At 47.7% G+C, this 14137-nt stretch overlaps 1 protein-coding gene and 1 long non-coding RNA gene across 3 annotated transcripts in view, besides 4 other annotated features; one reads left to right on the top strand and one right to left on the bottom strand.

The window, feature by feature from the left end:
- Positions 1 to 4117, bottom strand: part of TRAM2 (translocation associated membrane protein 2) — a 79653-nt gene extending 75536 nt beyond the window's left edge. Inside the window, exon 1 of the mRNA NM_012288.4 lies at positions 3853 to 4117. Coding sequence (NP_036420.1) covers positions 3853 to 3972 — 120 coding nt within the window. The 5' untranslated portion in view covers positions 3973 to 4117. The remainder of the gene's footprint in view (positions 1 to 3852) is intronic.
- Positions 393 to 921: an enhancer, noted in NCBI's record as "H3K27ac-H3K4me1 hESC enhancer chr6:52438134-52438662 (GRCh37/hg19 assembly coordinates)". NCBI's record gives its function as "activates a minimal SCP1, AML or CMV promoter by ChIP-STARR-seq in naive H9 embryonic stem cells {active_cell/tissue: H9 hESC(naive)}" and the evidence as "EXISTENCE:reporter gene assay evidence [ECO:0000049][PMID:30033119]".
- Positions 1523 to 1572: an enhancer, noted in NCBI's record as "active region_24686". NCBI's record gives its function as "activates an Ori minimal core promoter by ATAC-STARR-seq in GM12878 lymphoblastoid cells {active_cell/tissue: GM12878}" and the evidence as "EXISTENCE:reporter gene assay evidence [ECO:0000049][PMID:35858748]".
- Positions 1923 to 1972: a silencer, noted in NCBI's record as "silent region_17284". NCBI's record gives its function as "represses an Ori minimal core promoter by ATAC-STARR-seq in GM12878 lymphoblastoid cells {active_cell/tissue: GM12878}" and the evidence as "EXISTENCE:reporter gene assay evidence [ECO:0000049][PMID:35858748]".
- Positions 3830 to 4689: a silencer, noted in NCBI's record as "silent region_17285". NCBI's record gives its function as "represses an Ori minimal core promoter by ATAC-STARR-seq in GM12878 lymphoblastoid cells {active_cell/tissue: GM12878}" and the evidence as "EXISTENCE:reporter gene assay evidence [ECO:0000049][PMID:35858748]".
- TRAM2-AS1 (TRAM2 antisense RNA 1) lies at positions 4259 to 11050 on the top strand. 2 transcript variants are annotated; one of them, NR_103447.1, is made up of 4 exons: positions 4355 to 4708; positions 5107 to 5450; positions 6432 to 6666; positions 9920 to 11050. It is a non-coding gene; the product is annotated as a TRAM2 antisense RNA 1 (long non-coding RNA). The 2 variants fall into 2 exon arrangements; NR_103446.1 differs by having other exon boundaries at positions 4259 to 5450.
- Positions 11051 to 14137: the final 3087 nt, after the last annotated feature.

Consider the following 14137-nt stretch of genomic DNA (forward strand, 5'->3'; position numbering starts at 1 on the left):
AGCCATCACCAAGAACTCCTCTGGGTCCCTCAACCTTTAAGTCATCACAGACCAAAAAGAAACCAAACCTACAAATGATAGGCTCAGAATTGTGGAAACATTTCTTTGCAGCTTTAGAGCCTGTAAATGAGCTTAAAAAAAAAGTTTCAGTCCTGAACTGACATTTTAAAGGTAGTATATAAATTGCTTCCTCTCTCTTCGGTGCACCCCCTTTTTCCTCATTCTCCATTCGCTAATCAAAGACTTTTCCTCTTCCCCTGCCTGTTTCAATTTGAAACGTGGCACAGAACAGGACACTGGAAGGAGAAGGGAAGGTGGAGGGGGAGGAGGCTACTTTCAAATCTGATACACATACCCCCCAACCAGCTGTCCACACCCTGGTTGATGGTCAGGCCAGACTCCACCTAAGACAGGACTGAAGGACCAAAGAGTTGAGTAGAAAACTCCCCCTGTGCCACCTCTCCCAAAAGCAGACTTAACGGTGGAAAGGAAGGAGGGGGAAAATAAAGTTCCACATTCCTGACATTTTTTAGCCAAGTGCTGTGGCTGCACAGAGCAGCTTCTCTATTCCAAGCAGCCTGTAGGACTGGGAGAAAACCTGGGTTCAGGGGGGAAAAGCTGCCCCCTGCCTTCGAAACAGGATGGCTCAACACTAAACCAAAATTGGGGTAGCAATAGGGGTGAGTGGTGAGGGGAGAGACAGCCTTTCATATGTGTTCCCAAAAGGAAATTATCCCAAGGGAAAGAATTTAGAGTCATCATCTCCCTGGGGACAGAGAACTAAAGCCCTGGGGTCCCTAACGGGGAAACAGAAGCCCCCTGAATGCAGAAGAGGTGACCAGTGAGTGGGGGAAAGAGCAACGCAGGGATGCAATGCAGACACAAGGGCTGTGGCTGCCTGGCGCGTGGGCTGATGGGGGAGAGGGACCCAGCCCATTGGCAGAGGCACGACAGAGGTCCCCAGAAGGAGGAATGGCCAAGAGAGTCGCTCTTTGTGGGAAGAATTATAATTGAGTTTTCCTGGCTCAGCTTCCGAATGAAGGAATCCTAGCCAGGGCCAAGTCAGAACCCCAAAAGCCTATGTCCTCTCACCCCTTTCTCCCATTCCCCTTGCACCTCTTCCTGCCGTCACTTCTAGGAAAAGGGTGGTGAGTCCCCAGTTGCACCTACCATCGCACCATATGCATCCCTACATACCCACACATGCACACCACACACTTCCAGAGAGAAACCCAGAAGATCCTAAGTGATATCCAGCCAGTCCTGTGCTTGGTTATGAGGCGTCTCCCCAGGCTTTACTCTGAGTGTGAAGATGCCCACATTTGTTTCTCTGTGGTACCTACAGTATCCAGGACGCTTCTGCTCTCATTTGATAGAGGCAGCAGTTCCAAACTCCCCCTCCCCACCCCCAGGAATACTTATCTCTGTGGAGAGTTAGTTAGTCGGTGGGTAAAGACAGTGAGGCCCCCACCATGTGCCCAGCACAGAAGAACACAAGACCTTCTTACTGGAGGCTTAGGGCAAAGCCCTCTTTCTCCCAGAGAAGCACAGACTGATGATCTCACAAAGTACCTCCAAAAGAAGGAGACACCTGCCCTGTAGGTCCTGTAGGTTCAAGGTGCTATGGGAAGAAGTGATGGGCTTGGCAGGAAAAGGGGGCCTGTAGGCATTTCAACCAGGGGCCTTGCTACACTCCCCAATACAAGCCTAAGGGGGAGGAAGAGTAGTTTTGTTTGTTGTTTTTCTCGTCTTGGGCCTTTCTCTTTCACCAGATACTGGAAGTAACAGCTCTTAACACCTTTCAACTTTTAGAGTGGCAGGTTTAATGCACAGGACTTTCCATAAGACTAGAGACCCAGGGAAGGAGGTAGGTACCAAACTCAAATGCTGGCAGCCCTTTCTGAGCAAAGATAAAACAGGGAGGGCCACAAACCCTAACAAATGCTAGAAATATGACGGAGAGAGCCACAGGCTATGCGAGAAACTTCGTCGCTGCAGCCTGTGGCTTTGAGGTTTACAGCTGTCACGTGTATCTTTCCAGCCACACCCTCCAAGGCTGGGGACACGCACTTGGAGGCCTCTTAGAATGGAGGACAGCAAACAGACAGCAGAGAATGCGCTGGGCAAAGGAAATTCTGTTATTTTGTTAAGCTATTATTATGATAAATAATCACAGGGCTCCAGGCGCAAGAGACTTTTTCATGTTGGTAGGAGATGTTATGGCTTTTGTTGCTGATATGATCTCAGTTAAACCTTACAACCACCCTGTGACGAAGACCAGTTTTATGAACGTCTTTAATGATGGGGAAACTGAGGCTGCAGTCAGTTTTCAGTCAGACTAGTCACAGAACAGGGACTGAGACACACGGATATGACTCTGTGTGACACCACACACTTCCAGGGGAGAACCCAGAACAAGGTGGAGCAAGCCCGACCCAATATACCACTAGAGAGAGCTGTGAGAGGGAGAGGAAGGAGAGAGGGACTGAACTAAAGGAGCACTATCAAAAAGTGGAGTGGAGACCCCAGTCCTAGCACCACCGTTTATTTCCTACAGACCCTAAAGCTCAGCCACGGACACATTCATTCATCCAACCCTGACTTGGCCACCACAAGAACGTTCCCAGCTTGAGGGCAGCTTCGCCAGCCAATTAGGGCCCTTGTCATTCGTAGAGATACAGGGAACCCGAGACAGAGGGACAGGGAAGGAAATTTAGCCAGGCAAGCCATCCTCCATCTCCAAGGAAGTTTGTAAATGATCACAGCTTCCTAACCCAACCGTGAGAATGCAATAAGCAAGCTGACGCAGAAGGGAGGACAAGGAGTCTCAGGAACCAGAGGAGACCACGGTGAGAGTGAGGGGAATGTCGCTCACATATCTCACTTCTGAGACAAGATATACCGCAACAAACCCATGCCAAGCTTCCTCCAGTTCTTCCCACTTTTGAATATCACATTTTTCTTGCTCTGCAAGAGTAGGGAATCCTTCCCATCAGTCTTGTGAATTCTGACCCCTTGCTGGCTTTCTACAACTCCCTGCCTGGGAGGCCGACACCAGGACATTGCTGTTGGGGGTGGGATCCCCATCCTCTGCCCCCCACTCCTACACTATAAGAGAATCAACTTTCCCCAAAAAGTGGAGGGTATCCCTGTCTCTCTTCTTGTCTCTGTAAAGGGGGTGAAGCTCTGGGTCGCCGCAGATGGATCTAAAGGGACAGTTCACGGAGTGGTAAAGGATATCCAAAAATTGGCCTTCTAGAGCACAGCAAAAAAGTGGGAGCGAGACGAGAGCAGAAGGCCACTGCTGGGATGGGGCCAGGGCCACACGTGAACATCCGAGCACGTTCCAGAGCTGAGATGCAAAACACCCAGAAAATCACATAGGAAGTGGAAAAGGTTCTGGGTCTCTCCCACTGGAAAAGCCCAGAAGAGCTAGTGGCCACCCCTTGGGGCAAGAGGGGGTTGTGCAATGACTGCGGGTCTGGGAGTCTCTGGGCTTGGCTCCTGGACGCCAGAAAGGGAACCCCACGCGTCAAGCCATGGTGGCAGCGCGGCGGTTGGTTCGAGGCCAGGCTGGGGTTTCAGGGCTGCAGACAGAGCTGCAGGATACGATGAGTGCCCAAGGGGGCGGCAGAGCATGGCATGGCTGGCACGGCGCGGAGCTGGGGGTGCTGTCTGGGCTGGCCGGGGTACAGGCCGGAGGGGTACAGTGCACAAAGCCGGGGTGCAGATAACGTACACGGCAGCCAGGAGCCTCCGATCAGAGGAGGGCCCGCTGACCTGCAGGGGTGTGCCGGGCGGTGCACGACAGGGGGCACTGTCCCTCCAGCTCCCTCCTCCCCAGGCTCTCACCTCGAACATAAGCCCGATGAGGACGCAGAGCACCAGGCAGAAGCCGATGTCCGCATGGTTGTGGATGACGAACTCCTGGCTGAAGAGCGGGTAACTTTTCGTCCTCCTGCGGAAAGCCATGGCAGCGGGCGCGCAGCGGCCGGCGGGGCCCGCACCCTGCGCTCACGAACCGCAGCGCAAACTTCTCCAGCACCGGCCCGGTCCGCCCGCCGGCCCGCCGCCCGCTCTCCCACAGCCGCTCGCCCGCCCAGCGCGGAACAACTTCGGGGCCCGCCCCCTTCCTCCGCCCGCCCCCGGCCGCCCGTAACCGCCCCCGGCCGCAGCCCCCGCCCAGCCCCCGCCCAGCCCGCGGCCCGCACTCGGCGCGCCTGGCCCCGCCCCCCGCGGGCTTAACCCTCTAGCCGCTGGGCACGCGCGGGCTACCGGGGCGGAGGCGTACGGGGGCGGCGAGCGGGGCTCGGCTCCTCCTCGTCCCGCGCCAGCGCCGCGCCCGGCCGCATTCTCGGGGCCCGAGGCTCAGCCGCTCGCGGTGGAGAAAGCAGGCCGCGGAGGAGGCGGGCGCCCAGGCCTGCCCGGACAGGAAGTGGGCCCAGCTTTCCCACTCCTCGCTCCGCTCCTTCCTCCGCGGGAAGGGCAGGCCCCGGAGGCAGCGAGCGCCCCGGGGGTGGCCGGGCAGCCGGATGCTCCCGGGGTTGCGGGCTGTGGCCCCGGGGGCTGAGGGCGGCGCGGGTGCGGCGGAAGCAGGGAAGCCGCGAACCGGCCTTCTGGCTGGCCACAGCGCCCTGCACGGACGATCAGTGAATGGAGATTACTCAAGTATTTATCGAGAACTTGCAGTGGGCTAGGCACAGTTCAGGTAGATCAACAAACCGAAAGACCCTGCCCTAGGGGAGCTTTCGCTCCAATGCGGGGAGAGGGTGGATGATTGCAGTTTTGCCCAGTAATTTTTGGGACCCTCATGCCACCATTAATTAGCTACACACATTTCACCGAAAGTCTACCTTACATATTAATCAGAAGAAGTGGAAGAATAAACACAGAAGAAGCAAAAAAGGAAGGAACTTTCTCACTGAAAGTTTCTATTTAATATTAAGTCTTAAAAGTACTCCTGGAAGGACAAAAGGTGTTCTTAATAAATTATATTCGCAAATATTGGATTTAATCCTACCAGTAATGAAGCAGTCAGTTACTTTCTAGATGTGCAGAAATACGTAATGAACAAAAAAAACTAATTCCTATTCCATTTTTTATTAGGTCCACAGTTATTTCACTTCTAAATAAATATGGTTTTTTAAAAGTGGCACGCGGTGGAATGTAATTGAGACAGGATGGAGTTCCTAGAGAAATTTTACTTCCTCAATCTGCACTCCACCTTACTTAAAATACAGTCTTGGGTCTGTAATTCCCTTATCTGACTCTCAAGGAAATGACAAAGTAATGCCTAGATTGGACTAAACCTCATTTAACTTCAAGGCTGACCTTTCTCAAAGTTGAACCTTCGTCTTGTGAGGAACAGAAAGATCAAGAACTCTGAAGCACCTCGACTTTCCACCTGTGAAGATGTGTTCAAATTTGCAACGTGCGGCCACACCTATGAGGTTGAACTTTATACAATTGGTTTCTTTATAGGTTTAGATGGTTGAATTTAAGTTACCCCCACTGCTATTATTATTATTTTGAGACAGAGTCTTAACTCTGTTGCCCAGGCAGGAGTGCAGTGGCGAGATCTGGACTCACTGCAACCTCTGCCTCCTGGCTTCAAGCAATTCTCATGCTTCAGCCTGTAGCTGGAACTACAGGTATGTGCCACCACACCTGGCTAATTTTCGTATTTTTTAGTAGAGGTGGGGGTTTCACCATGTTGACCAGGCTGGTCTCGAACTCCTGACCGCAAGTGATCCGCCATTTTTTGAGACGGATTCTCTGTTGCCCAAGCTGGAGTGCAGTGACGCCATCTCGGCTCACTGGAACCTCCTCCTTCCAGGTTCAAGCAATTCTCCTGCCTCAGCCTCCTGAGTAGCTGAGATTACAGGTGCCCTCCACCCCCTGCTAATTTTTGTATTTTTAGTAGAGACAGGGTTTCACCATGTTGGCCAGGCTAGTGTTGAACTCCTGATCTTCAGTGATCCACCCGTCTTGGCCTCCCAAAGTGCTGAGATTACAGGCCACTGCACCCAGCCTTTTGCTACACATTTATACTAAACTATATTATGGGGCAGCACAGTAGGTTTGTTTACACCAGCATCACCAGAAACACGTGGTTAATGCATTGCGCTACAATGTTACAGTGGCTACGACATCACTATGTGATAGGAAATTTTCAGCTCCATTAAGATCTTATGAAACAACTGTTTTATATGTTGTTTGACCTGAATATCATTACGTGGCATATGGGTATATGTCCTCCAGTTTTTCAACATTCCTTCCTTCAAAAAGAGGCAATTCGTTCCCCCACCTTGAGTGTGGGCTGGACTTAGTGGCTCACTCCTAATAAATAGAAGGTAGCATAAGTGATGGTATGTGACTTCCAAGACTAGGCCAGAAGAGGCATTTGAGGGTTTCTGCTTTCTTTCTCTCAGGTCACTCCCTCTGGAGGAAACCAGCTGCCACTTTGTGAGGATACTCATAGTCCTGTGGAGGCATATCCTCCATATGGCTGAGACCTCCTGCGAACAACCATCACTGACTTGCCAGACATGAGTGTGCCACCTTGGAAGCAGATTTTCCAGCCCCAGTTAAGCCTTCAGATGACATCAGCCCCTGCTAATCTCTTGACTACAACCTCATGAGAGACCCTGAGCCAGAACTAGCCAGGTAAGCCACTCCTGAATTCCTGACCCACTGCACCTGGGAGAGAATAAATATTTGCTGTTTTAAACCACTAAATTTTATTGTAATTTGTTATACAGCAAGAGATAGCTAATACACACTGCTAAAGCTTACAATCTTTTAGAATTGACTGAGACATCATTACAATTCAGTGTGATGATGGTGACTCTAAGAACAACCTGAAATATGCACACTCTGAGTACAAGGAAAAGGTAACCTAATTCTCTCTGGGGTGTAAGGGAGGAGGTCATTTGGGCTGGGCCTTTACCTGACAAATGGTACTGACAGAGAATGCAGAAAAGGAGTGATAGATGAATTTGGAGAGTTAAGATAGAACTGGATTGTGGCAGGTTTTGTATGCTGTGATAAAGAATTGTGACTTTATTCTGCAAACAATGGGAAGGAATGGAAAGTTGGTGTTTTTTGTTTATTTGTTTTTGAGATGGAGTTTCCCTCTTGTTGCCCAGGCTGGAGTGCAATGGCACCATCTCAGCTCACTGCAACCTCCACCTCCCGGGTTCAAGAGATTCTCCTGCCTCAGTCTCCCAAGTAGCTGGGATTACAGGCATGTGCCACCATGCCCAACTAATTTTGTATTTTTAGTAGAGACAGGGTTTCTCCATGTTGGTCAGGCTTGTCTTGAACTCCCAACTTCAGGTGATCCACCCACCTCAGCCTCCCAAAGTTCTGGGATTACAGGCGTGAGCCACTGTGCCTGGCAAGAAATGGAAAGCTTTTAAGCATGACCAGATCTGTCTTTAGAGGAGAACTATCAGGAGTATGGAAGACCATCCTGATTTAAACAGGAAGACCACTTTGGAAACTATTATAACAGTCCAGTAAAGAAATGGACACTTCTCTCTTCTTTTTGAGACAGGGTCTCTGTCACCCAGGCTGGAATGCAATGGTGCAATCACAGCTCACTGCAGCCCCAACCTCCTGGGCTTAAGTGATCTTCTTGCCTCAGCTTCCGAGTAGCTGCGACTACAAGCACACACCACCATGCCTGGCTAATTTATTTCTATTTTTTGTAGAGACAGGGTCTCCCTCTGTTGCCCAGACTGGTCTCGAACTCCTAGGCTCAAGTGATCCTCCTGCCTCTACCTCCCAAAGTACTAGGATTATAGGCATGATCCACTGCGTCTGGCTAGCACTCCTCAAAGAACAGTAGCAGTAAGAATAAAAGGGAGTTGAATGAGTCAGAACTTGCATCTGGGATAACATAAATGATGGTGGGACCATTAAAAAATTTATTTGGAATAACAGATAAAGAGCATGTTTAAGGGAGGAGAAGAAGATGGCCTCTGCTTTGAACAAGCTGAGGTTGAGGAGCCATGGAACACTTTGACAGCTCAGTTGGAAACTGTTGGATTGGACTTGGGGAGGGAAAATCACAACTAAAGTATTTTCAGTTCATCTTCAGTAGGACTGTTGAGGTCATCAGGTTATATAAGTGTTCTGAGAGAATGAGAAAAAGTCTGAGGTCAGCAGAATCCTAGTGAACCCCGACACTCGGAATGGGGGAAGATGAGGAAAAGGAAAGCGTGGCGTAGAGGAAGCCACGACATAAGAATTTCGTTAAGGACAGGTTGAATCAGGCAGAACAAGAATGAGATGAAACTCCCAGATTCAGCCATCGTGGCTTTTAGAGACCACTTAATTGAACATTAGAGTGGGCTTAACAGTAGGTAGAAGTTGAGAAAAGGAGGTGGGTAAAAACGTCTGTTTGTAAAAAAATGTTTTGTGAGAAAAAGAGAAATGGATGGTGTTTTGAGGGCTATGGAAGATCTAAGGAAGGACCTTTAAATTATATTTAATTTTTGAGATTGGAGCATATTTGGAGACAGAGAGGAAAAACCCAGGAGAGAGGGAAATACTGAAAATACTTGAGCTACGGGAGATCAGTGATGAAACTGAGGAGGAGGCTAGAGGGTGGCTCCAGCAATAGGAACAAAAGGGAAAACTCTCCTGAGATGGATCAGGGACCTAAAAATGGGTGAATACAGTTCCATCTGGATGTGGAGGAAATAACAACCCCTTACGTTTATATTGCACTTTCCAGTCACCCTGTGAGGGAGGCAAGACAGTTATTACCAGCCCTTTCTTGTAGCTGTTCTGAGACATGAATGACCAAGGGCCACATAATGAGTGGGTAGCTGAAGCTGGGCTCAGACCAGCCAGTCAGGCTCTCAGCACAGGGTTCCCTTTGCTGGACCATACTTCAGCTTGCTCAGGCTTCCTAAAGCACAGCACTGTCAGGCAGGCACCACCTGTGTCCCTCTCTGCCTGCCTAGTCATGGCTGCCAACAATTCGGCTGTATCAACTTTTTTTTTTTTTTTTTTTTTTTTTTTTGAGACGGAGCCTTGCTCTGTCACCCAGGCTAGAATGCAGTGGCATGATCTTGGCTCACTGCAACCTCTGCCTCCTGGGTTCAAGTCTCCCAAAATTACCTGGGATTACAGGCATGTGCCACCATGCCTGGCTAATTTTTATACTTTTAGTAGAGATAGGGTTTTGCCAGGTTGGCCAGGCTGGTCTTGAACTCCTGGCATCAAGGGATCTGCCCACCTTGGCCTACCAGAGCGCTGGGATTACAGACATGGGCCACTGCAATTGGCCTCAACTCTTAACTAAATTAGATTACTCCCTCTTTACAAAACAGAACTTATGGTTTCCAATCTCTATGTCTGTGTGTTTTTGTTCACCTCTCAATGTTAACCATCTTTCAAGATAAAGAGTGTGCACCTCTTCTATCACTAAGCTTCATGGCATTAGTCTGGGGGCATCGACACAGCAATTTGTGTGTAGCTCTCAGCTAGCACCAGGTCCTCCTGCAATCGGTGTGTTTGTCTATGAATTTTACCCCTCATTACATGGTGCAATCCTTCAAGGCATGAATTCTGCCATGGAATACTGTCATAGTCTAACAGCATAAAGCACAAGAGTCCCGCATCTTATGTTCTCATCAGATATTGGTTGAATGCATGATTGAATGAGAGACGCTGTTGCTGTAGGCTGTGTAAGAATGACCACTATCCCCAGCCTTATCTACATGGAGCACAGCATGCTTTTGTGTTGATGAATTCTTTCCAGTAGCTGTCCTTTCCCCAAAGTGGAAAATTTATTTTTTCACATAACAAGAAGCCCAGAGTTAGTTTATTCCTAGGGATAAGTAATGCACCCAAGACCAGGGTCTTCCTATCCTCCCACTTTGAAACTTGTTTGCTTTTGTTGCAGGCTTACCCCTCATGGTTACAAAGTGGCTGCAACAGCTCCAGGTGTTCTATCCTTTAACACAGAATAACTCAAACAACAAGACCCAATATTCAGACAAGAAGGAAAGGGACTTTTGGAGAGTGAAGAAAACTTTCCTAGAAACCTCAAACTTCTCCCCATGCCTTATTGGCCAGATTGTATCCCATGCCCATTTCTAAACCAATCATTGGCAAAGTGAGTGGAATTGACGTGATTAGATTAACTTTACCAAGAATGCATCCTCAGAGAGGCTGAGAAAAAGTCCAGCCTCCTTTGAAGAGCCTGGCTACCTTTCACCTGAACAAAACAAGAATTCTGATGAAAAATGGAGAATGTATGTGGAGCAGGCACCCGGAGTGTCTATGCCAGGATTTTTTTTCAGTGCGTTTCACCGGTTATATTTTTGTCTCTTTACCTTACAAGATATGTGGCACGTTTGCCTAAAACAAGCCTTGCTTTCTGATTTCTGTGCACTAGGCACTTAAACCTTGCAAATGTCGCTTACCTAACAGTCACTGTCAAGGAGTACCTGGCTAAAGAATCTCCAGCTAGACAAAGTAGAAGTGTCTGTGCTCTGGCAGTTGAATATATTGTATCAGGCTCAACAGCACCTTTCACCAAAGGATGAGACTTCACAACCATTAGATCTTCTTTTATTTTGTTTTTATTAAAAAAAAAAATTTTAACACACCATTGCTAACTTGAAGCCATTAGATCTTCTTACCCCCAATACCACAAAAGTTTAGTGGAATCAGGGGTATACCAAGGCAGGTGGAGTAGGGGAGCTGGGAGTGGTCAGCCCCCAGGGCAGGCAATGAGGGATTGTGAATCTGTGAAGAATTTTAAAGCAATGATACAGCTCTAAATGCAATGTACTATCCTGGACTTAGCCCTGGAAAAGAAAAAAGATATTAGTGGAAAAACTGGTAAAATTCAAATAATGTCTGTAGTTTGGTTAATAGTATTATACCAATGTTAATTTCTGTGTTTTGATAAATGTACCATGGTTATGTAAGCTGGATGAAAGATATGTGGGAAATCTCTCTACTATTTCTGCAACTCTCCTGTAAACCTAAAAATGTTTCAAAATAAAAGATTTAATGCTAAAATTGACTGAAAATTGATCTGCTTTTTTATTATCACCATGCACTGCACATGCTAAACGTTAGGAATAAAATACTTCCTCCCCTCCTCCAAATCTTTTGGTCTAAGTTCTAAACAATTGCTGTAGATGCTGTTGAATCTTAATAATATATATGTAAATTTCAACTTAGCATATTTTTATTATTTGTTAATGAACTTTGCAGGCTGGGTGCAGTGACTCATGCCTGCAATCCCAGCACACTGGGAGGCCAAGGACAGAGGATTGCTTGAGCTCAAGATTTCAAGACCAGCCTGGGCAACATAGCAAGACCTCATCTCTACTAAAAAAAAAAAAAAAAAAAAAAAAAAAATTAGCCGGGCATGGTGGCTTGCACCTGTAGTTCCAGCTACTGGAGGCGCTGAGTCAGGAGGATAGCTTGACCCAGGTGGTTGAGGCTACAGTGAGCCATCACTGCACCTCTGCACTCCATTCCGGGTGACAAAGTGAGACCCTGTCTCAAAAAACTAAAAAAAAATTAAACATTGCATTCTACATGCAAGTTAATCCTAGAAACTCATCTACCCAAACAGCCCCTGATGTGTGCAGCCTCAGGTGAACATATTTGTTCATACCCTATTGGAATCATCTGAGTTTGTTTGGGGCACAGTTCACATCTCCAATCTGGTACTACAGATTCTTGTGTTTAAACTAAAAATTTGAAAAGTGATAGCATGGTGATTGTAAAAACAAAGAAACAGGACTGGTTACTTTAATTCTGTCATTCTACATGACCACTTGAGCCTTTTATTTGTGTTTAAAACTTAAGTTAGTGAAATAGAGGACACAATGCCAGTACTATCATTTGTTTCATAGAATGATTTGTGTGTGTGTGTGTGTGTGTGTGTGTGTGTCATTCTTTTCACTTTCATTGAGAGGAGCAGGGGGTTAAAAATGATCTGCTCCAGGGCTGGGCATGTTGGCTTGTGCCTGTAATCCCAGCACTTTGGAAGGCCAAGGCAGGAGGGTCACTTGAGCCCAGGAGTTTGAGAACCACCTGGGCCACATAGGGAGACCCTACAAAAAAAATTAAGAAAAAAAGATCTCCTCCTGGTATCAGATATGCTAAATATAAGAGTGAGTGGAATTGAGATTCGAGGTATTAGTAACTACCTTAGGGCTGGGCACGGTGGCTCATACCTGTAATCCCAGCATTTTGGGAGGCCGAGGCAGGTGGATCACCTGAGGTTTGAGACCAGCCTGGCCAACATGTAGTGAAACCCTGTCTCTACTAAAAATACAAAAAGTAGCTGAGTGTGGTGGTGCACACTTGTAGTCCCAGCTACTTGGGAAGGTGAGGCAGGAGAATTGCTTGAACTCGGGAGATGGAGGTTTGCAGGGAGCTGAGATGGTTCCACTGAGCTCCAGCCTGAGCGACAGGGCAAGACTCTTGTCTCTCAAAAAAAAAAAAAAACTACCTTAAACATTATATAGATCCACTTTCTCACTTTAGAAGCAAAGAAAGGAAGGCTCAGAACTTGCTGCCATTAGTAAGGATTTCGTGAGTGGGGTTGAAAACAGGCCCCCTCCCTCCTGGTCTGTTGTTGCCAGCACTGCCTCTGAACCCTACGCCTGTTCTCCTTTAGCAGACAGGTGATAACTCAGAAAAACCAAGTCCCTTGTCCAACGGCCGCTAGTGACTCAGTGGCAGAGTAGGCACGGGAACCGGCACTCCTGACAGCTCCAGGGCTCTGACCACTGTGCCCAGTTTCCCCTTTCCAGCTCTCAATCAGCTAGAGACAGATAAATTCCAGGCAACTAGTGAATGTGCCACCTGACTTTCAGATGGGAAGAGGGGAGCATTATTAAAAACAGACTTAAAAAAAAAGACACAACTTGACACTAGACAGGAGTAAACTTCAGCCAGAATTCCCATCACCAGAAAAATACTGGGATATGACATTTGGGAAGCAAGGGAACAATTTCAGGCACTGTTTTCCTCTAATTTGGGAGACATCTTTGTTGTTGTTGTTGTTGTTGTTTGTCTCACTCTGTCACCCAGGCTGGAGTGCAGTGGCACAATCTCGGCTCACTGAAACCTCCACCTCCCAGGTTCAGGTGATTCTCCTGTCCCAGCTTCCTGAGTAGCTGGGATCACAGGTGTGTGCCACCACGCCTGGCTAATTTTTGTATTTTTAGTAGACCTGGGGTTTCACCATGTTGGCCAGGCTGATCTCGAACTCCTGACCTCAGGTGATCTGCCGCCTTCAGTTTCCCAAAGTGCTGGGATTACAGGTGTGAGCCACCATGCCCGGCCTAATTTGGGAGGCATGTTTGGATGAAAAGTATATTAGAAACTTAAGCTGCTCACAAATATGTTTATTCCTTAGTTTTTCTTTTTTCTTTTTTTTTTTTTTTTTGAGATGGGGTCTCACTCTGTTGTGCAGGCTGGAGTGCTGTGACACGATCGCGACTCACTGCAGTCTTGGTCTCCCAGGCTCAAGTGATCCTCCCACTTCAGCCTTCCCAGTAGCTGGAGCCACAGGCGCATGCCACCGTGCCCAGCTAATTTTAAAAATTTTTTTGTAGAGACAAGGTTTCACTATGTTGCTCAGGCTGGTCTCAAACTCCTGGGCTCAAGCGATCCTCCCACCTCAGCCTCCCAAAGTGCTGGAATTAACAGGTGTGAGCCACTGTGCTGGCCCTTAGTTGTTATACATACACAGAGAAAGCAATAATTATCAGAGGGACACTGTTATGTTGTAGTATGCCATCACACTGAGGAAAAGTTCAATAGAAAGAACTCTGTGGAAAGAAGATTTTCATGAGCCAAAACACAACTCATGAACCCCTGTTACTCAACTGCCATGCCTGCCTTCTCTGAGCAGTTGTCTCCTAGGCTGCAGAGAAACTCAGAAACTATCTTGTTTAAATTTAGGTATCTCTCTATGAACCTTGTTACCAGCCCTTGCAATTTATCCCATCTCTGCTTCTCAGATCACAGCCCAGTGTTCAGGAACCATTTGCTTGTTAATTATCAGGCACAGACAATGCATGCAACTACCAGTGTTCTGTCTTTACACAACTCTCTACCACAGTAATTGGTTATGTATGCCCTG

This window comes from Homo sapiens, chromosome 6 (genome assembly GCF_000001405.40).
Source record: "Homo sapiens chromosome 6, GRCh38.p14 Primary Assembly".
Taxonomy (NCBI): domain Eukaryota; kingdom Metazoa; phylum Chordata; class Mammalia; order Primates; family Hominidae; genus Homo; species Homo sapiens.